Source organism: Homo sapiens, chromosome 8, assembly GCF_000001405.40.
Source record: "Homo sapiens chromosome 8, GRCh38.p14 Primary Assembly".
Classification (NCBI taxonomy): Eukaryota; Metazoa; Chordata; class Mammalia; order Primates; family Hominidae; genus Homo; species Homo sapiens.
Window position 1 is genome coordinate 138,027,088 of NC_000008.11, and position 23,521 is coordinate 138,050,608.

At 40.9% G+C, this 23,521-nt stretch overlaps 1 long non-coding RNA gene across 1 annotated transcript in view; it reads right to left on the reverse strand.

Moving 5' to 3' along the window:
* Positions 1-23,521, reverse strand: part of LOC401478 (uncharacterized) — a 273,872-nt gene that overhangs the window by 217,414 nt on the left and 32,937 nt on the right. Inside the window, exon 2 of the long non-coding RNA NR_161374.1 lies at positions 13,252-13,335. This is a non-coding gene — a long non-coding RNA (uncharacterized LOC401478). The remainder of the gene's footprint in view (positions 1-13,251; positions 13,336-23,521) is intronic.

A 23,521-nucleotide genomic window follows, 5' to 3' on the forward strand; every position in this document is an offset into this window, starting at 1 on the left:
GAAAGTTAAGCACAGACCAAGTTATCCTCAATAGGCTAAATTTTCTAGGACCTTGGAATATTCTGTATTTATTTCCCCCTTCTTTACATCTGAGCCATTTCTTAAAGGAGTGTTTATTCACTGTTACCTGATCTCTGGTTGGCTTTGAGGCACATTAAGCATAAACATCATGTCTGTCCTTAATAACTGTGGCACATGTGTTGAGCATTTATCATCCAAGGCAGCATGCTACGTGTTTTCCATGTACTAATTCATTCAATCCTCTCACTAAATCTACAAAATTGGCACAATTGGTACTGTCAGTACTCCCATTTTATACATGAAGCAACTGAGACTCACAGAAGTTAAATAACGTGCTCCAAGTCAGAGCTAATAAGTGACATTTCACAGATGAGAACACTGAGCCCAAAGAGGTTAAGTTCAGATGCATGTGGTAAACAGGTGGTCAAATTGATATACTACCTATATCTGTTTGGATCAGATGCCTTTGGAAGGTTAACAAAATTCAGCAAGTCCTGGGTATATTGTGTTCATCTGAGTTGAAATAAATTTTGTCCAGTTCCTCAACAAGAAAACCAGCGTTCTAGCAGAGGAGATAGAATGCATGTGAAGAGAAATACTCTCAAAGCAAGAGCACGTTCTTGACTGGGACAAAAAGCCAAAAATTAGGAACCAAAAAAGTCATTGAAAAAGAGAAGTTAAAATAGGGAGCTCTAGAAAATGCTCATAAACAGAGTGGGGTGCTGACTGCCTCAGTAGAGAAAAGGCTGATAACTGTATCAGGCTAGCCAAACAGGAGAACATTAGGATAGAGCATTGTCACCAAGGATAATTTAGAAAGTATAAGACAAATCAAGCCAGTGGCGTTATCCCAACATTATAAAGGCAAAGTCCATTTTAGAAGCAGCCTAATTCCTGAAACTTACACTTCTTTCCTGAAAGCTGTCACTGTCTTGTTCGTCATGACAAAGAACAATAGAAATCTTTTGTCTTTTAGCCAGATATCAACAGTTTTATTCCATTTCTGTGGACCGTTGCAAAACACCAAGGATGGAGTTCACTGTGGGACAGTGCATGGGATGAACAAAAGAGAATTGAGTGGTTTTATTAGGATGTCAGCAAGCAAGGCAGAAGGGGTGCAAGGCTAGTACAATGGGCGTTGTGTCACTAAGCACAGATGCTCAAGGGTTGGGCCGATCATCATAACTGATTTGGAGCTCACACTATGAGGTGAGAAAGAAATACATTTTTCCCCCTTAGAAATAAGAAGGAATGTGAAAAGAAAACCCATTCTTTGTCCTGTAAGAGATGCGGAAGGAGAGAACAGCAGCATAAATGTGTGCATGAGTAAGAGGGATTCTCACGCTTGGGTGAGAAAAAGCAAATAAAGCCCACGCTTTGATGTTATAAGTAATTTTATCAAGGTCTTATGGTGTGGCTTGCAGCATTTGAAGAATGAGGAGGAAAGGAAAGGCATGTGTCTTGATTGAAGCTTAAAAACTGCCAAAAATTAACTTCGAGAATTCCTGCCCTACTTGATGATGCCTCCGTATTGCAGTTAGCAAAACTATACATGAATTCCACAAGGAGTCTATGGATTGTCATTAAGACATCAGAAATATTTTAATTGTATTCAAAATTATGTGTTTGTGTGAATGCACACATTTTGATAGAGGAGAGAAGTTTGCAGAGATTTCATAAATTTCTTGAAGGAGACTAAGTTCCCAAATATTGAAGAAACACTGTCAGACAGTATTGATTTTTCCTACGTTCCCCTATGTACCTGATTTGGGTTTTCATCACATAGCTCAGGTATCTTTGAAACTGACATTTCTTTCTTTTCTTTTTCTTTCTTTCTTTTTTTTTTTTTTTTTTTTTTTTTTTTTTTTTTTTTTTTTTGAGATGGAGTCTTGCTCTGTCGCCCAGGCTGGAGTGCAATGGCTGGATCTCAGCTCACTGCAACCTTTGCCTCCTGGGTTCAAGCGATTCTCCTGCCTCAGCCTCCCAAGTAGCTGGGACTACAGGTGCATGCCACCATGCCCAGCTAATTTTTTGTATTTTTAGTAGAGATGGGGTTTCACCATGTTAACTAGGATGGTCTCTATCTCCTGACCTCATGATCTGCCCACCTCGGCCTCCCAAAGTGCTGGGATTACAGGTGTGAGCCACTGCACCCGGTCTGAAACTGACATTTCTATTGCAGTGATACATTGGTTACCCTGCAGCTTAAAACTCTTTGGACCAGCAGCACTGGTATAATTTGGGGGCTTGCAGAATAGGGGTACCACCCATGACCGATTGGATGTATTTGAATTGTCTCTCTGACTTCTAATGCTTGCCTGAACCCTCTTTCTCTAGCTGCATCAAATCCTTTGCCTTTAAATAAAGGCCTCACATGAGTGTGCTCTGTGGATTCTGGTGAATTCTTTCAACTATTTGAACTGGGGGAACCTTTGCAGGGTAAAATTCCTGACCCGTGAACTAGAGCAAGTAACTAGCTTTGGCCAATGGGATGTTAGTGGATGTGATTATAGCCAAGTCAAAGGTGCTTGAACTACAGGGATTGACCATTTCAGGATCACTCTCATTGCATAAGGACATGCTAGGAGTCGCCTGATGAAGGATGAGTAATATGACAAGCAAAGTCAGGCCAGATGCCTCAGCAAAGGGCAGCCTAGCTCTGTGGACAGTCAGCCAACCCTGAACATCTAAGTAAGCCCAGTCCAAATCAACAGAGCCTCCTGACCAAACTCAGCTGATCCCAGAAAACTGAGAAAACAATGTCCATTGTTGTATGCCCCTGAGGTTCTAAAGTTGCTTGTTATACAGCATTACTATGGCAATAGACAGAAGGTATAGACAAGTTCTCCACCAGCCAACTAAGGTGTAGGAGAATGTATCAGAGTGTGGCTGCCAATCAAATAAGTACACCAATATTGCTAGAGTACTCTGTAAAATGCCAAATAATTTGAAACCAGCAGTGAGGCTTTTTGCAGACCTCATACATGGGAAACCCAAGGGACACACTTGAGGAAGGTTACTGACATACTTGCACTGTAGTAGCCACATTCATGTACAGTAGCCACTTTCCATCACAATAATGTTTATCAATTTAGTACGTATATATACAGCAATGCATCATTTAATAACAGGCATACATTCTGACAGATGTGTCCTTAGGTGATTTTTGTCACTGATATGGTTTGGATATTTGTCCCACCCAAATCTCATGTTGAGATATAATCCTCAGTGTTGGAGATGGGGCCTGGTGGGAGGTGTGTGGGTCATGTGGGCGAATCCCTCATGGCTTCGTGCTGCCCTCACCATAAGTGAATTCTTGTGAGATCTGATTGTTTAAAAGTGTGTGGCACCTCCCCATTTCTCTCGCTCTTGCTCATACCATGTGACGCACCTGCTTCCCCTTCACCTTCCACCACGACTGTAAGGTTCCTGAACCCCTCTCCAGAAGCCAGGCACATGTTGGTGCTATGCTAGTACAGCCTGCAGGACCATGAGCCAATTAAACCTCTTCTCTTTATAAATTATCCAGTCTCAGGTATTTATTTATAGCAATGCAAGAAAGGCCAAACACAGTCATTGTGTGAACATCATATACTTCCACAGACCTAGATGGTGTAGACTACTACAAACCTGGAATGTAGGGTATAGACTATTGCTCCTAGACTACAAACCTGTACAGAACATTAATATGCTGAATATAGTAGGCGATTGTAACACAATGGCACATTTTGTGTATCTAAACACTTCTTTTTTTTTTGAGATGGAATCTCGCTCTGTCACCCAGGCTGGAGTGCAGTGGCACCATCTCAGCTCACTGCAAGCTCTGCCTCCCAGGTTCACACCATTCTCCTGCCTCAGCCTCCCAAGCAGCTGAAACTACAGGTGCCCGCCACCACATCCGGCTATTTTTTTTTGTATTTTTTAGTAGATACGGGGTTGCACCGTGTTAGCCAGGATGGTCTCAATCTCCTGACCTTGTGATCCGCCCGCCTCGGACTCCCAGAGTGCTGGGATTACAGGCATAAGCCGCCGCACCCAGCCAACACTTCTAAACATAGAAAAGGTACAGTAGAAATATGGTGTCATAATCTTAGGTGACCACCATCTTATATGTGGTCTGTCATTAATTTAAACATTGTTATGGGACAAATGACTGTGTATGTATACATATACATATATATATACACACACACACATACACACAATAGATAATAGATAATAGTACATATACAAAAAAATCTGAATTCAATACTAAAAATAAAATGTAAATTTTCTTCCCACCTAGAATATATGTTTATTTCTTTTGAGGCAGTTCAATATTGCCAGTGTCATGTACATTGCTCTACTGAGGAGCTAGCAGTGCAATTGGCTTCAATTCTAAATGTAACCACACAACTCTTCTACAAACACATTATATACATATGTAAAATTGCCAACAAACCTGCAATGTTAGCCACCATTTGCAGTAAGGCCATCATTGAAAATTCGATCCCCTAGGCAAGACTGATTAAGTGACTTTCTCAAAAAGTCATACAAGTTGAGAGAGAAACTTGGTCTCTAAGTGCCCTATTTGCAAATCCCCATGGCTGAAACAGGCTCCAGGGGGAAGCAAAGCCATTTGTATATTTTCTTCTTTATCTTTTGTAACAGGCATAATGCCATGTCACATTCAAAAAATAAAAATGCCACACTACTGAGAGTTAAAAGTACTCTCTAGTGCCTCTTTGAAGAAAAACCCAGTGGGCAGTCCATGTAAACTCTTTGAAGGAGCCTCTCTCACTGCTGGAGAAAATGCGTCCTTGCTCTTGGCAGGGTAATAACGAGATATCCATCTTGCTGAAAGCCATGCTGGCTTTACATGTATGATTATGTTTAAATGGTCACATATGCATTATCCCCATTCATATAGACACATTTTAAACTATTTGATTCATGTCAAAAAAGACCAGGTTAATTTATCAGGATTGCAATGGTGTGATGTAGTATAAAGGGCACAGGATTTGGACCCAGGTATCACAAGGTTTCTACTCTGACTCAATTACTGGCTTTACGATTTTGGTCAAGATGCTCAATTTTTCTGAGTCTCAGTTTCCTCATCAATAAAGTGGAAAGCATGATATCTATTTGACAAATATTTATTGAGAAGTCATAGTGCTTGTCACCAAGAATATAATGGCTATAAATATAAACACCAACCCTTCCCTCACAGAATCAGCAAGGAAGACAATAGTGTTAGTTACGACTTCTTCCTCAACCCTATATTTAGAATTTAAAATACAGATTCTGAGTGTATCAGTCTGTTTTCACACTGCTATAAAGAACTGCCCAAGACAGGGTAATTTATCAAGGAAAGAGGTTTAATTGACTCCCAGTTTAGCATTGCTGGGGAGGCCTCAGGAAACTTACAATTATGATGGAAGGGGAAGGGGAAGTAAGGCATCTTCTTTACAAGGCAGCACAACGAGAAGTACTGAACAAAGGGGGAAGAGCCAAACTGCCCCCATGATTCAGTTTCCTCTACCTGGTCTCTCCCTTGACACATGGGGATTATGGGGATTATAATTCAAGATGAGATTTGGGTGTGGACACAAAGCCTAACCACATCACCAAGGAAAGAGAAGTCAGTCCCAACAATCAAGGATCTTACTTATAAATCCCTTAAAAAATGAAGACTTCTCTATTTAGTCTCTGGTCTGTAGTGGCCGGAAACTGTGCCTGAATTGCAGGGACCCATGTGACTCATCTAGCTCTCCTTCTAGCTGCCCTCCGAAACCCACCAATTCACAAAGCTTAATGTTCTGCAATGGAAGAATACTCATCGAGAACGGTATGCTCAAACTGGCAGCCAGCTACATGTAGTGGACTATTTCATATTCCCCAGCAACATTCTGATTTCCTTTGTAAGTCCACCACCACCACCACATTTTTGTTTTCTGTCTCTACCTGCCTCCTGGCTATACAAATCAATTTCAGTTTTGTGTTTAAAATGGGAATGAGAACTGAGGACTTTGTAAAAATAGCTTTTTAATATATAGGTGTCCTCAGAGGTTCCTGAGCACATTTCAAAGTAGAAACTTATCAATGATGATAACAACTGACAGAAGCTTTACATTCAGTGGAGGAACTGAGTCTCCCTTGATCTTGCACTGGCCCCCAGTCCAGCGTGAAACAAATGAGGACAGTCACTGAAAGAGTCTACTGAAATTTGTAGATAATATTTCTATCTCTGATGAGAGGTAAACTGTTTAAGTCACTATGTGGGAATATTTGTTTTAAAAACAATTCCCTCTTATTACGAGCACCCTTAGAAAATTCCCAAATGCAACCGGGTATAACCAACATATGATATTTTTTCTTTTTCACCAGAATAGATGAGATTTAATGCCTAGACCAGTGTGCTTACGTAAGGTGGGCCATAGCCCTCATGTCCCTTTTGTAAAAGTAGAGTGTGTATTATTTCTATTAATAAATGCTCTGATAAAGTTATCAGTCACCTCTCTATAACAACTGTGCACATTTTTTTGCCTTCAATAATTAAATTCTGTCTGTTTACCTTTTTTGAGATATATGTCCCATGGATAGATTAGAGATATATTAGAGACAAATCACAAACAAGGTGCAGAGGAAATCTAAGTGGATGTCAGGCACAGGCCACAATTCCTAACCCAATAAAGCAATGGAAAAGAATCAGAACCACCCTTTGCCTGTTGAAACAGGCACCAGCTGGGACCCATGGGGAGTCTGACATCAAATTTCAGGTATAACGTTCTCTCATTCAATCAGCAGTCTCTGAGAAAGTAGTGTCTCTGAAACCCAGGGGTGTTTGCATGACTGGAGAATCAAAGTTTTGGCAGGAAGCTAGGGTAGATGTTGTCAAGGTAGGAGAGGAGAGGATGCCTACCCACTGAAGGGCATTGCATTTTCCAGATGAAAAACTGTGACCAGTTTTTGTCCCTGGGAGTTCTGAAATGTTCATCTCATTCTAATAAAAATAAAAGCATGGTCTAGCTGCCAGGAAAGATGACAGTGTTAATTTGGGGAGAGTTTAAAGTCACTCTCATATTTTTTTTCTGGGGTAGGTAGAGATGAATTTGCCCTTTGCTTAAGTTCCAAAGGAAGAAAGATATTTCATAATTCCAGCTCATTGATATTTCCCCCTCTGCTCTCTGGTCTGAAAAGGAAATTCAATTTGTCATTTCCCTTTCTTGACATACCCATACAAACAGACTGTTACTGTGCGCATTATGCACCTTTCAATAATGAAATAAACTATGACCTCAAACATGAAATAGCACAAGCAGTGAAAACTTAGAATGGAAAGTTTCTGCTAGTGAGAAAATCTGGACCTCATCATCTCTAGAGCAGGCTGTGTTTTTTAAAGTCTAATTTTGAAGCTGAAGTCTGTCATTTATGTTAAAATGCAAAGTGTTAGGGAAGGTGGGGGGCTCCGAATTTATCGTATGTGGGAAGACCACCCTGTTGTTCATTTCCCTGCCGTATGGGAAGGCTATTACAGGCTCTTCTGTGAGGCATTTGAAACCTCTTCAATAGTCTTTCTGAAAGTTCCAAAATTTGTCCCGATTAAATTTTCAGGGCTGGGCGCGGTGGCTCACGCCTGTAATCCCAGCACTTTGGGAGGCCGAGGTGGGTGGATCACGAGGTCAGGAGATCGAGAGCATCCTGGTTAACACAGTGAAACCCCATCTCCACTAAAAGCACAAAAAAATTAGCCAGGCGTGGTGGCAGGCACCTGTATTCCCAGCTACTTGGGAGGCTGAGGCTGGAGAATCGCTTGAACCCAGGAGTCAGAGGTTGTAGTGAGCTGAGATTGCGCCACTGCTCGCCAGTCTGGGCAACATAGCAAGACTCCGTCTCAAAAAAAAAAAAAATATTTCAGATGGGGATGCATACCTGGCAGATGTTTTCTAGGGGACGAGCCTTCACTTCAGCAACCTAGCTTTGGGCATCTTCATGTGCTGCGGCTCTGGGAAGTGGAGATAAGCCAAGGTGAGAGAGGATGCTGTCTTGCCCTCAGGTTTTATAGTCTGGAGAGATGCATTATCAGCTAATGCTTCATTCTTCATCCCATATCAGAAGACAGACAATAAATATCAATAGAGTTCTCATCAAGCTCCTTATGGAGGGTGTTGCAGTAAGGCAAGGGCTCAAGTCTTCCTTGGTTTAGCCACCAAATCCATATGTGGCCATCCGGCATGTAAACTGAAGAAAAGAATGGTCCCTTTCCCAGAGGGCTGTTGTGAGAATTTCATGAGGTAATTCTCATCAAACCCTGGCAGCCTCCCTGCACCACTGCAAGCTTCATCGCATTAGAAAGACACGGCAGCCCTGGTTTATGCCCCTTGATGCCTAGTTTGCTGGTGGCCAAGTTGTGAAGCAGGTGACAGTCTGTCCTGGAGTGACTTGAGTCTCTGACTATGGACCCTAGTCTCCCCACAGATGTGTTCCAAAGTCTAGGCTCACTAAGGGCCATAGAAGGTCTTGTTATAAACTTGAATACAAACTTATTATTCATAAATATGTTACTTTCTTTCTATTTTGATCTAACCCCTCAAGTCCACAACCGTTAAGACTCATGAGATGGAAGGATGGAGATAAAACCATTGAATACCATCAAACCTCCAACATACGTATATAAGAAATAGGGTTTAGGTAAGACAACTAATCAGTCCAAAGAGATTGCCTTAGCTTAACCATTCCATAATGCAGTGAGTCATTCTTTCTTTACTCCTCCATAAAAGGCTCCCATTTTCAGCCTTTTTACAGCGAAATAGAATTTTCTTTCATCAGTTGTTTATTTTGCTCCAACCATGAAGCTACCACAATAGATATAAAGATGAATATGATACGTTCTCTTTCATCAGAAAACATCCTATAAGTGAAGGAAACAAAGATGTAAACAATACAGTGTATCCTAATAATTGGAATTATAATGTGAAATGTCCTAGTTACAACTCTTACCAGCACTGCAGCCTTGGACAAATTAATCTCTTTGGAATTCCATTTTATCACCTGATAAATTAATATAATATATCCCTTTTATGATAAGGTTAGAAATAATAGATATTGTTAAATAGCAACAATAATAATGACACTGTCTGGTGGAATTTAAGAGCTTTCTAAGGAGGTACCTGGGTTGCCAGTCCACGTATCATTTGACCAGCATGTACATAGAACCAGGCACAAGATTATACATAGGTTTTGGTTTTCTGATTTTTTTAAGAAATAAGGTATCTGATTCTTAAAATTACTTAATAAAAATTCCTAACATAAAAGTGCCTGCAAGGAAAGGAATTTTGGTCAGGAATAGATACAAATAAATAGGTTTTGAATATTTTGAAAAAGTAGCTGTCATTTATCATGGAAAAAAATGTCAAGAGTAGAGAAGGCATAGATGTTGAAAATCTCTATTGTTGGGGTATAAGACCTAAAATCAAGACTCAATATGACACGCTGCCTTGATATCTCATGAGATGACCTTACCACAAGTTTTTCTCCTCCCTTTGTTCCCAAGAATAAGATTCCTCCACCAAATAACCTTCTCATTCAAAGGGACTAGGCACACTTTCTGCTTATAACCGAGTAGTTGGTTTCTGTTCCCTGCCAGCCTGTAGAATGATTCAAACAAGCCAATCACATCCTCCCATAGAAAAAAGGGCCACCCCACTCTCTTGATACTACAAGATGTGTCTCTCACAACCCCTGCTTACTCACTGCATTCTCTTTTTTTTTCTTTTATTATTATACTTTAAGTTTTAGGGTACATGTGCACATTGTGCAGGTTAGTTACATATGTATACATGTGCCACGCTGGTGCGCTGCACCCACTAACTCGTCATCTAGCATTAGGTATATCTCCCAATAGGTGCTGGAGAGGATGTGGAGAAATAGGAACACTTTTACACTGTTGGTGGGACTGTAAACTAGTTCAACCATTGTGGAAGTCAGTGTGGCGATTCCTCAGGGATCTAGAACTAGAAATACCATTTGACCCAGCCATCCCACTACTGGGTATATACCCAAAGGACTATAAATCATGCTGCTATAAAGACACATGCACACATATGTTTATTGCGGCACTATTCACAATAGCAAAGACTTGGAACCAACCCAAATGTCCAACAATGATAGACTGGATTAAGAAAATGTGGCACATATACACCATGGAATACTATGCAGCCATAAAAAATGATGAGTTCATGTCCTTTGTAGGGACATGGATGAAATTGGAAATCATCATTCTCAGTAAACTATCGCAAGAACAAAAAACCAAACACCACATATTCTCACTCATAAGTGGGAATTGAACAATGAGATCACATGGACACAGGAAGGGGAACATCACACTCTGGGGACTGTTGTGGGGTGGGGGGAGGGGGGAGGGATAGCATTGGGAGATATACCTAATGCTAGATGACGAGTTAGTGGGTGCATTCTCAATTGTAACCTCCACATGGTCCTCCTCCCTGGGGCCATGGGTAGATGTGACTAATAAACTGCTGTGAGCTTCTCTGTCCAGTGCTGGGTGTCGTGTGTTTGTCCATCTCCATGACTCTTGGGTGGAAATCCTTCCTTATCAACAGGGTGCATGGGAAACAGTTAACACAATTGTTCTCTGATGGCTTTATGTGTGTGCATTTCATATCATTACCTGTCTTCAAAAAGTATTTTTTAATTCATTGTGTGCTTGATTAAAAAGAATACCTTAACATTATTTGGAATAAGTCAGACAAATTGAGAAGTAGAAACCGAGACTTCAAAAATGAACACATGAATGTCCTTTACTGAAATTAAACCTGTTTGACTAAGTGAATCCAAATAAATGCATTTTCAAATATCAGATATATTAATGTGTTGCCAAAAAAAACACTTTTTTCATTAAAATGTTTGAAAATGTTTTCAAATGCCTGGATCAATTACAACTAAAAGAAAATAACATATTTTCAAATTATAAATTATTTCACATAGTATCATGCAAAATTCAGTTTCCGGTTGCTAACTGATCACTCTAAGGAAACAAAAATCTACATTTCTAGACCTGAAGCTTGAGGGTTTTCTTTCCCAAACATAAAGTGGTGGTGGATATATCCTTCTTAGCTTAGCATTCTACTGATCACCAATATCTGATCTAAATGAATGGTTAATCTGAAATTTTCAAGTACAGGTGACTGTGATTATGTTAAGACAATGTCTGTAATATGAAGTGGGGTTCACCTTATAGGTGCTGTTCCTAAACACCTTGTCATTCCTTTAGGTAATCTTTGCTTCAAAGATAATGCCAGATAGAGTCCAGGAGGTGCTAAACCAACCAATTTGACAAAAACAAAGCTAGGAATGAAAATAGAATCTGAAAGTAAGGGGAGTAACACAGCTCTGACTTCATCCCTGACAGTGGCCCTCTATATTGGTAGGAAGGCACCTATCTGACTACATGCAATCATCATATTATGATGACTCTAGGAGAGGCGTACCTCCATTTTGTGCTTAAAATCATTAGAGAAATGCAAATCAAAACCACAGTGAGATAACATCTCACACCAGTCAGAATGGCAATTATTAAAAAGTCAAGAAACAAGAGATGCTGGTGAGGTTGTGGAGAACTAGGAACACTTTTACACTGTTGGTGGGAGTGTAAATTAGTTCAACCATTGTGGAAGACAATGTGACGATTCCTCAAAGACCTAGAACCAGAAATACCATTTGACCCAGCAATCCCATTACTGGGTATACACCCAAAGGAATATAAATCATTCTATTACAAAGATACATGCACATGTATGTTCTTGTAGCACTGTTCACAATAGCAAATACATGGAATCAACCAAAATGCCCATCAATGATAGACTAGATAAAATGTGGTACATATACACCATGGAATACTATGCAGCCATAAAAAGGAATGAGATCACGTCCTTTGCAAGGACATGGATGGAGCTGGAAGCCATTATCTTCAGCAAACTAACGCAGGAACAGAAAACCAAACACCACATGTTCTCACTTATAAGTGGGAGCTGAACAATGAGAGCATGTGGTCACAGAGAGGGGAACAATACACAGTGGGGCCTATCAGGGGGTGGGGGGCAGTGAGAGAGCATTAGGAAAAATAGCTAGTGCATTCTGGCCTTAATACCTAGGTAATGGGTTGAGAGGTGCAGCAAACCACCACAGCACACATTTACCTATGCAACAAACCTGCACACCCTGCATATGTACCCTGGAACTTAAAAATAAAAATTTTTAAAAGTTAAGAATTAGTGGTGGCCGTTACACATTTAACATGGTTTGAGTCAAGCAAAATTGTAGGGGTAAATAGCTTGGGCATCTTCACCAGCTTCTGGTGCAAAACCACGTAATATTTCCTTTCTTTCTTTATTTTAAAAGATCCAAGTCTCAATCCCACCGATTGTCAGAAGACACAGTTTTTCTCTTTAGTTCTCCTCTTCCGATATGTCCAAGGCATCAGTGGGTGTTTTTTCCACTCAAAGAAGGAATCTATACTTAACATTGTCATCACTCCTCTTCCCACTGTTCTGGACAATTCATAGAACCACCTCAAGGGAAGATGGTCTCTAATTGTCATGGTTCATTATCAGAAACATGTTATTCTGACCTTAGATGCTGAGACATTCTAACCTCTGCTGGGAAGCTGTGCTTGCTGCCCTGACGTTTCTCTCTTCTTTTTCTGGAAGTGGGTGGACAAAATTCCTCCCACCTCACTACTATGCCCCAGCAGGGAATGACTTATGACAGAAATAATAAAATTGCCCCCACGATCCACTTGTTGTGGAAGATTATCTTTCGTCAGTGGTGGAGAGGCAATTTGTCTTTATGGGACATGAGACCTTTCTTGAGAATGTCCCTGAAATCTCAGGTTTGTTCATTCCTAATTCAAACACTGGTAGCCCCTTATCTGGAGAATAACTGTCTCATTGGGGCACAGCATTTACACCTGGACTTCGGGTGTTCTAGATGAGAATGTACATAGAGCAGGTCTTTTAATAACACTGTTTTGTTCAACATCACTTCATTATGAAGTCGATGAGAAAAAAATATAGATTCCCCATCTAGGTGGGGCTTGAATGTTCTTCCCATGTCTACATGGGTTTCTACAGGTACTTTTGTTTCCTCCCACACCCCAAAGCTGTGCACCTTAGGTTAATTGGTGTGCTACACTGTCCCAGTCTGAGTGAGTGTGGCTGTGTGTGAGCGTACCTTGCAATGGGATGGCCTCCTGTCCCAGGCTGGTTCATGCCTTTCATCCTGAGTTGCTGGGACAGGCTCCAGCCGCCTGTGACCCTGAAATGAATAATCGTGTAAATAATTATGTTACTTATGTTTATTATTTTTTAAAATGTATATTAGCTTACATTTATTTCAGTGTTTTGAGTCTTTATTTAGAAGTTAAATGATTGATGTTTTGTGGTCAGAAATATACTGTAGAAATTTAACTCTTATTTATATTAATTAGCATAAGCTACAATTGGTTTTGTTACATGTTCTTTCAATTAATATCACAGTTTCTAAGAACCTATTGATGATGTTAAGTGAGGACTTATTGTGCCTCAGAAGGTGGCAGAGTTCTTTCCCTTCCCAGTGAAATCATGAACCAATAAACAAATTCTCATAGGACCTTAGACATGGAAATCAGTTGGCTTCAATTTGAAAGCCCTGACTGTCTAAAACAAGGGGATACTTAATTCAACTTCATGTCTATAAGGGAGGGACATTCATTCTTTAGTGCTCTGCTCATGCCCTCATGCCCAGCTCTCAGTGACAACATCCCAAGTTTATGCAGCCTGCATTGGAGCACCCAAGAAATCTGTCAGCATCTGGAAAGGTCCCCAGAGGAAGCATGGGATGAACTGCTAGAGAAGATGACTGTCCCCAGCAGGACTCAGCACCAGCATCTCTTAATTCCCATATTCCTAAAAGCCATTGACTCAATTCAGAAAGAATGGTCCTCCTCCAATGCTACCTGTCATTTTATCATGAAAACCCACAATCAACTCTTATTCACTTATAGAAATTTGCTAGAACCTTTTAATTCTGTCAACTAAAAACATAACAGTCTTTTAAATATGTTTCACATACAGAAAATGCATTCCAATAAAAGGTATCTTCTTTGCACTCTCTCTACTTTTTGGCTCCAATTAGATTATACACTATTGAAGTCCAGAAAGCCCAACCTTTCATTTTCAGTCTTCTTCTCTGTGGAACCTACTATATTAACTGCATTAACCTGACTGACCTTTGTTAAATATTGATTGAATCAAATTAAGTTGAAGAACAGCCTCTCTCCGTGTGAGATTTTAGAATTAAAAACACAGTGTTTACATGGTGAACTTGGGGGCATATTTCTAGGGACTCAAGCTTCGGTTTGAGAATAGTGAATTTTATTCCCAATGAGATAAGCTACTGAATAGCTTTACTCATTCAGTGCAAGTGAAGGGATGTGAAACACAGGACAGCAATCATCCAATGCTGATCTCTGGGTCAACCAGGTTCCAAAGGTATTGTCACTGCAAACCTTATTCCATTAAGGCTTCGAGATTATTGGGGACCAGGACATCTCCTTGCATAGAGACTATGGCCATATCTTCCTCAGCACGTACAAGACTTAACCTATTATCTATGCCCCCAAATCCATACCCACTCTCCTTTGCCCCACATTATCTCACTCTTGACTGATATTTACTCTAGACTGTCCCCACTCCTCGTCCATCCTACTGTTTCCCTCCATGCTCACATCTCAATACGGGACAACAGTTCAGGGTCTTCCCATTGTCAACAAAATGGTCAGTGTCATGACTTGTAGATCCCCTCCCATAATCAAGGATCATCTACCTTCTCAGTCTCATTTCCATTTTCTTGCCTACATATAAGTCAAATGCAGCTACAGGTCATTCCTGTAATGCAGCAGGTCCCTCACACTGCTCTACATTTCCCTGTGCTGATTCACTGGATAGGATGCCTGCACCTGATTATCCACCAATCACCTGCTTATCTTTACAACCACACAGAAATCACCTTCAAGGGGGCCCCTGTCCTATACTTCCCAGGCAGAAGAGGCACTCGGTTCACAGATTCCCCTCTAGACTCCTCTGCCAGCATGCTTATAGCATGGCCTTACACCTTCAGCAGATATTGCATTTATTGCTTCTCTTTTCCATTTTAGGGAACGGCAAGCTTTCTAAAGTCATCTTCTTAGATGCCCCCAGATTTTCTCTTCAGCTTTAATTCTATCAGTGGCTGCTTGTTGTTTAGATCATATATGCTTTACCAGCCAATGTTCTCCTAATATTGATCTCTGTCATCTATTGATTAGGGAGGGTGAGTCATGGAACCTCTTTGAATTCTGGTTTCTTCACTTCTAAAATGAACTTAATATTATCACTTAAAATATTAGAGTGAAAATAGAAAAAAATAACTTTAATAAGTTGTCTACCACAATTTTTTTATTATTATTATACTTCAAGTGTTAGGGTACATGTGCACAATGTGCAGGTTAGTTACATATGTATACATGTGCCATGTTGGTGTGCTGCACCCATCAACTCATCATTTAGCATTAGGTATATCTCCTAATGCTATCCCTCCCCCCTCCCCCCACCCCACACCAGTCCCCAGAGTGTGATGTTCCCCTTCCTGTGTCCATGTGATCTCATTGTTCAATTCCCACCTATGAGTGAGAATATGTGGTGTTTGGTTTTTTGTTCTTGCGATAGTTTACTGAGAATGATGATATCCAATTTCATCCGTGTCCCTACAAAGGACATGAACTCATCATTTTTTATGGCTGCATAGTATTCCATGGTGTATATGTGCCACATTTTCTTAATCCAGTCTATCATTGTTGGACATTTAGGTTGGTTCCAAGTCTTTGCTATTGTGAATAGTGCCGCAATAAACATACGTGTGCATGTGTCTTTATAGCAGCATGATTTATAGTCCTTTGGGTATATACCCAGTAGTGGGATGGCTGGGTCAAATGGTATTTCTAGTTCTAGATCCCTGAGGAATCGCCACACTGACTTCCACAATGGTTGAACTAGTTTACAGTCCCACCAACAGTGTAAAAGTGTTCCTATTTCTCCACATCCTCTCCAGCACCTGTTGTTTCCTGACTTTTTAATGATTGCCATTCTAACTGGTGTGAGATGGTATCTCATTGTGGTTTTGATTTGCATTTCTTTGATGGCCAGTGCTGGTGAGCATTTTTTCATGTGTTTTTTGGCTGCATAAACGTCTTCTTTTGAGAAGTGTCTGTTCATGTCCTTTGCCCATTTTTTGATGGGGTTGTTTGCTTTTTTCTTGTAAATTTGTTTGAGTTCATTGTAGATTCTGGATATTAGCCCTTTGTCAGATGAGTAGGTTGAGAAAATTTTCTCCCATTTTGTAGGTTGCCTGTTCACTCTGATGGTAGTTTCTTTTGCTGTGCAGAAGCTCTTTAGTTTAATTAGATCCCATTTGTCAATTTTGGCTTTTATTGCCATTGCTTTTGGTGTTTTAGACATGAAGTCCTTGCCCATGCCTATGTCCTGAATGGTAATGCCTAGGTTTTCTTCTAGGGTTTTTATGGTTTTAGGTCTAACGTTTAAGTCTTTAATGCATCTTGAATTGATTTTTGTATAAGGTGTAAGGAAGGGATCCAGTTTCAGCTTTCTACATATAGCTAGCCAGTTTTCCCAGCACCATTTATTAAATAGGGAATCCTTTCCCCAATGCTGGTTTTTCTCAGGTTTGTCAAAGGTCAGATAGTTGTAGATATGCAGCATTATTTCTGAGGGCTCTGTTCTGTTCCATTGATCTATATCTCTGTTTTGGTACCAGTACCATGCTGTTTTGGTTACTGTAGCCTTGTAGTATAGTTTGAAGTCAGGTAGTGTGATGCCTACAGCTTTGTTCTTTTGGCTTAGGATTGACTTGGCGATGCGGGCTCTTTTTTGGTTCCATATGAACTTTAAAGTAGTTTTTTCCAATTATATGAAGAAAGGCATTGGTAGCTTGATGGGGATGGCATTGAATCTGTAAATTACCTTGGGCAGTATGGCCATTTTCACGATATTGATTCTTCCTACACATGAGCATGGAATGTTCTTCCATTTGTTTGTATCCTCTTTCATTTCCTTGAGCAGTGGTTTGTAGTTCTCCTTGAAGAGGTCCTTCACATCCCTTGTAAGTTGGATTCCTAGGTATTTTATTCTCTTTGAAGCAATTGTGAATGGGAGTTCACTCATGATTTGGCTGTTTGTTGTTGGTGTATAAGAATGCTTGTGAGTTTTGTACATTGATTTTGTATCCTGAGACTTTGCTGAAGTTGCTTATCAGCTTCAGGAGATTTTGGGCTGAGACAAATGGGGTTTTCTAGATATACAATCATGTCGTCTGCAAACAGGGACAATTTGACTTCCTCTTTTCCTAATTGAATACCTTTTATTTCCTTCTCCTGCCTAATTGCCCTGGCCAGAACTTCCAACACTATGTTGAATAGGAGTGGTGAGAGAGGGCATCCCTGTCTTGTGCCAGTTTTCAAAGGGAATGCTTCCAGTTGTTGCCCATTCAGTATGATATTAGCTGTGAGTTTGTTGTAGATAGCTCTTATTATTTTGAAATACGTCCCATCAATACCTAATTTATTGAGAGTTTTTAGCATGAAGCATTGTTGAATTTCATCAAAGGCCTTTTCTGCATCTATTGAGATAATCATGTGGTTTTTGTCTTTGGCTCTGTTTCTATGCTGGATTACATTTATTGATTTGCATATATTGAACCAGCCTTGCATCCCAGGGATGAAGCCCACTTGATCATGGTGGATAAGCTTTCTGATGTGCTGCTGGATTTGGTTTGCCAGTATTTTATTGAGGATTTTTGCATCAATGTTCATCAAGGATATTGGTCTAAAATTCTCTTTTTTGGTTGTGTCTCTGCCTGGCTTTGGTATCAGGATGATGCTGGCCTCATAAAATGAGTTAGGGAGGATTCCCTCTTTTTCTATTGATTGGGATAGTTTCAGAAGGAATGGTACCAGTTCCTCCTTGTACCTCTGGTAGGATTCGGCTGTGAATCCATCTGGTCCTGGACTCTTTTTGGTTGGTAAGCTATTGATTATTGCCACAATTTCAGATCCTGTTATTGGTCTATTCAGAGATTCAACTTCTTCCTGGTTTAGTCTTGGGAGAGTGTATGTGTCAAGGAATTTATCCATTTCTTCTAGATTTTCTAGTTTATTTGCGTAGAGGTGTTTGTAGTATTCTCTGATGGTAGTTTGTATTTCTGTGGGATCGGTGGTGATATCCCCTTTATCATTTTTTATTGCGTCTATTGGATTCTTCTCTCTTTTTTTCTTCTTTATTAGTCTTGCTAGCGGTCTATCAATTTTGTTGATCCTTTCAAAAAACCAGCTCCTGGATTCATTAATTTTTTGAAGGGTTTTTTGTGTCTCGATTTCCTTTAGTTCTGCTCTGATTTTAGTTATTTCTTGCCTTCTGCTAGCTTTTGAATGTGTTTGCTCTTGCTTTTCTAGTTCTTTTAATTGTGATGTTAGGGTGTCAATTTTAGATCTTTCCTGCTTTCTCTTGTGGGCATTTAGTGCTATAAATTTCCCTCTACACACTGCTTTGAATGCGTCCCAGAGATTCTGGTATGTTGTGTCTTTGTTCTCATTGGTTTCAAAGAACATCTTTATTTCTGCCTTCATTTCGTTATGTACCCAGTAGTCATTCAGGAGCAGGTTGTTCATTTTCCATGTAGTTGAGCGGTTTTGAGTGAGTTTCTTAATCCTGAGTTCTAGTTTGATTGCACTGTGGTCTGAGAGATAGTTTGTTATAATTTCTGTTCTTTTACATTTGCTGAGGAGAGCTTTACTTCCAAGTATGTGGTCAATTTTGGAATAGCTGTGGTGTGGTGCTGAAAAAAATGTATATTCTGTTGATTTGGGGTGGAGAGTTCTGTAGATGCCTATTAGGTCCACTTGGTGCAGAGCTGAGTTCAATTCCTGGGTATCCTTGTTGACTTTCTGTCTCGTTGATCTGTCTAATGTTGACAGTGGGGTGTTAAAGTCTCCCATTATTAATGTGTGGGAGTCTAAGTCTCTTTGTAGGTCACTCAGGACTTGCTTTATGAATCTGGGTGCTCCTGTATTGGATGCATATCTATTTAGGATAGTTAGCTCTTCTTGTTGAATTGATCCCTTTACCATTATGTAATGGCCTTGTCTCTTTTGATCTTTGTTGGTTTAAAGTCTGTTTTATCAGAGACTAGGATTGCAACCCCTGCCTTTTCTTGTTTTCCATTTGCTTGGTAGATCTTCCTCCATCCTTTTATTTTGAGCCTATGTGTGTCTCTGCACATGAGATGGATTTCCTGAATACAGCACACTGATGGGTCTTGACTCTTTATCCAATTTGCCAGTCTGTGTCTTTTAATTGGAGCATTTAGTCCATTTACATTTAAAGTTAATATTGTTATGTGTGAATTTGATCCTGTCATTATGATGTTAGCTGTTTATTTTGCTCATTAGTTGATGCAGTTTCTTCCTAGTCTTGATGGTCTTTACATTTTGGCATGATTTTGCAGCAGCTGGTACCACTTGTTCCTTTCCATGTTTAGCGCTTCCTTCAGGAGCTCTTTTAGGGCAGGCCTGGTGGTGACAAAATCTCTCAGCATTTGCTTGTCTGTAAAGGATTTTATTTCTCCTTCACTTATGAAGCTTAGTTTGGCTGGATATGAAATTCTGGGTTGAAAATTCTTTTCTTTAAGAATGTTGAATATTGGCCCCCACTTTCTTCTGGCTTGTAGAGTTTCTGCTGAGAGATCCACTGTTAGTCTGATGGGCTTCCCTTTGAGGGTAACCCGACCTTTCTCTCTGGCTGCCCTTAACATTTTTTCCTTCATTTCAACTTTGGTGAATCTGACAATTATGTGTCTTGGAGTTGCTGTTCTCGAGGAGTATCTTTGTGGCATTCTCTGTATTTCCTGAATCTGAATGTTGGCCTGCCTTGTTAGATTAGGGCAGTTCTCCTGGATAATATCCTGAAGAGTGTTTTCCAACTTGGTTCCATTCTGCTCGTCACTTTCAGGTACACGAATCAGAGGTAGATTTGGTCTTTTCACATAGTCCCATATTTCTTGGAGGCTTTGCTCATTTCTTTGTATTCTTTTTTCTCTAAACTTCCCTTCTCGCTTCATTTCATTCATTTCATCTTCCATCGCTGATACCCTTTCTTCCAGTTGATCGCATCGGCTCCTGAGGCTTCTGCATTCTTCACGTAGTTCTCGAGCCTTGGTTTTCAGCTCCATCAGCTCCTTTAAGCACTTCTCTGTATTGGTTATTCTAGTTATACATTCTTCTAAATTTTTTTCAACTTCTTTGCCTTTGGTTTGAATGTCCTCCTGTAGCTCGGAGTAATTTGATTGTCTGAAGCCTTCTTCTCTCAGCTCGTCAAAGTCATTCTCCATCCAGCTTTGTTCTGTTGCTGGTGAGGAACTGCGTTCCTTTGGAGGAGGAGAGGCGCTCTGCTTTTTAGAGTTTCCAGTTTTTCTGCTCTGTTTTTTCCCCATCTTTGTGGTTTTATCTACTTTTGGTCTTTGATGATGGTGATGTACAGATGGGTTTTTGGTGTGGATGTCCTTTCTTTTTGTTAGTTTTCCCTCTAACAGACAGGACCCTCAGCTGCAGGTCTGTTGGAGTACCCGGCTGTGTGAGGTGTCAGTCTGCCCCTGCTAGGGGGTGCCTCCCAGTTAGGCTGCTCGGAAGTCAGGGACCCACTTGAGGAGGCAGTCTGCCCGTTCTCAGATCTCCAGCTCCATGCTGGGAGAACCACTGGTCTCTTCAAAGCTGTCAGACAGGGACATTTAAGTTTGCAGAGGTTACTGCTGTCTTTTTGTTTGTCTGTGCCCTGCCCCCCAGAGGTGGAGCCTACAGAGGCAGGAAGGCCTCCTTGAGCTGTGGTGGGCTCCACCCAGTTGGAGCTTCCCGGCTGCTTTGTTTACCTAAGCAAGCCTGGGCAATGGCAGGCGCCCTTCCCCCAGCCTCGCTGCCGCCTTGCAGTTTGATCTCAGACTGCTGCGCTAGCAACCAGTGAGACTCCGTGGGCGTAGGACCCTCCGAGCCAGGTGCGGGATATAATCTCCTGGTGCGCCGTTTTTTAAGCCCGTTGGAAAAGCGCAGTATTCTGGTGGTAGTGACCCGATTTTCCAGGTGCCGTCTGTCACCCCTTTGTTTGACTAGGAAAGGGACCTCCCTGACCCCTTGCACTTTCCGAGTGAGGCAATGCCTCGCCCTGCTTTGGCTTGCACACGGTGCGCGCACCCACTGACCTGTGCCCACTGTCTGGCGCTCCCTAGTGAGATGAACCTGGTACCTCAGATGGAAATGCAGAAATCACCCGTCTTCTGCGTCACTCACACTGGGAGCTGTAGACCGGAGCTGTTCCTGTTCGGCCATCTTGGCTCCTCGGAACTCATCATTTTTTATGGCTGCATGGTATTCCATGGTGTATATGTGCCACATTTTCTTAATCCAGTCTATCACTGTTGGACATTTGGGTTGGTTCCAAGTCTTTGCTATTGTGAATAGTGCCACGATAAACATATGTGTGCATGTGTCTTTATAGCAGCATGGTGGACAAAGGATATGAACAGACACTTCTCAAAAGAAGACATTTATACAGCCAAAAAACACATGAAAAAATGCTCATCATCACTGGCCATCAGAGAAATGCAAATCCAAACCACAATGAGATACCATCTCACACCAGTTAGAATGGAGATCATTAAAAAGTCAGGAAACAACAGGTGCTGGAGAGGATGTGGAAAAATAGGAACACTTTTACACAGTTGGTGGGACTGTAAACTAGTTCAACCATTGTGGAAGTCAGTGTGGCGATTCCTCAGGGATCTAGATCTAGAAATACCATTTGACCCAGCCATCCCATTACTGGGTATATACCACAATGTTTTGTGATTGTAAACGCTCAACATACCATTAGGTTATTTAACAAATATTCAGTTTAGGCCAAGCAATGCAAAATATTAAGAAAAATCAGACCCAACCTGTGACCTCATTGAGTGTACAACTAACTGGAAGAGATAGACAATAGTTACATTATTACAGCTGCACACACACACACACACACACACACACACACACAATTGTAAGAGAAATACCATCTTTCTTAGAAGAGGAACTTTGTGTTACAGAAATTATAATAAGGGTCATCCCTGACCCTAGTGTAGGGTCAGGAAAGGCTTCCTCAGGAAACTGATGGCTGAAGGATAAATAAAACACAGCTGAAACGAATAGAACATTCTCCTTTTTTTCTGTTCTGATTCCCACTTCTTAGGAAGCCAAAGAGGCACACTTGTGCACACACACATACACAGGCGCACACACACACACACAGACACTCCTTATGCCCAGTCCTCTACACCAGCTTTGTCTGATAGAACTTCCTGTAGTGACAGAAATGTTCTATATCTGCACTGACCAACACAGTAACCACTAACTCTTTGTGGCTACTGTGTTCTTAAAATGCAGCTGATGAGACTTCAGAACTGAAATTTTTATTTTATTTATTTTAGTTAAGTGTAAACATAAAGAGCCACACGCATCTGTAGGCTACCACACTGGACAGTGAAGTTCTAGACTATTTCCTTTCCAAATCTCAGACACTGCTTGATTCATGATGGGTACTAACACACACTAACTCCAGGCGGTTTTGCGGAAACAGGATGTTAGAAAGTCATCTTGGCACCTTTTATTCAGAGTGAAAGTGACATACACTGACTCAAATCAACTCTAACTGATTCATTTGTCTGGGACAAGTTGCCACACCAGAGCACGAACTCACCCTCAAGACTTCTCACAAAGAATAACAAATATGCCATCATGTTTTCCATTAAATGAGCACTAAAAACTAACTAGTTCTTCCCTTTTCCTCCTATGTCACTATACACAGGAATTCACTCAGTTAACATTCGATGATGATTTCCCATGTACAAGGCTCTAGGGTAGACATTGATAAAGAAAATGAAGAAGATGTCTCTGTCCTCAAAGAGCTTTAACATTTGGAGGTACAAGGATGAGCAATTAAATCAGAGCTTGGGTGGGGCCAGTTGGGAGGACTCACTGGGGATGGCTACACGAAATGAGATACAGAAGACGAAATAGCCCCTTCCAGTCACTGACAGGGATTGCGGTGTAGGCCCCCATTAGTTTTGAGGGTTTGCCTATGGGATTGGGCCCCACCTCTTGTGGTGGTCTCTGGTCCCATTATGCACCATGGGTTGCCTTCCTGCATTTTCCTCCCTCCACCACTCTTACAAAAGTACTTCATGGCTCACCTTCCAAATACACCACTGACCTGCAAACCTGTGTCTTAGGACATGCTTCTAAGGGAACCTAATAAAGAGTAAAGAAATGGTAATCACTAAACATGCAATTTCATGGGCTGACAAATTTTCAAGCAGTAGCAACATATGA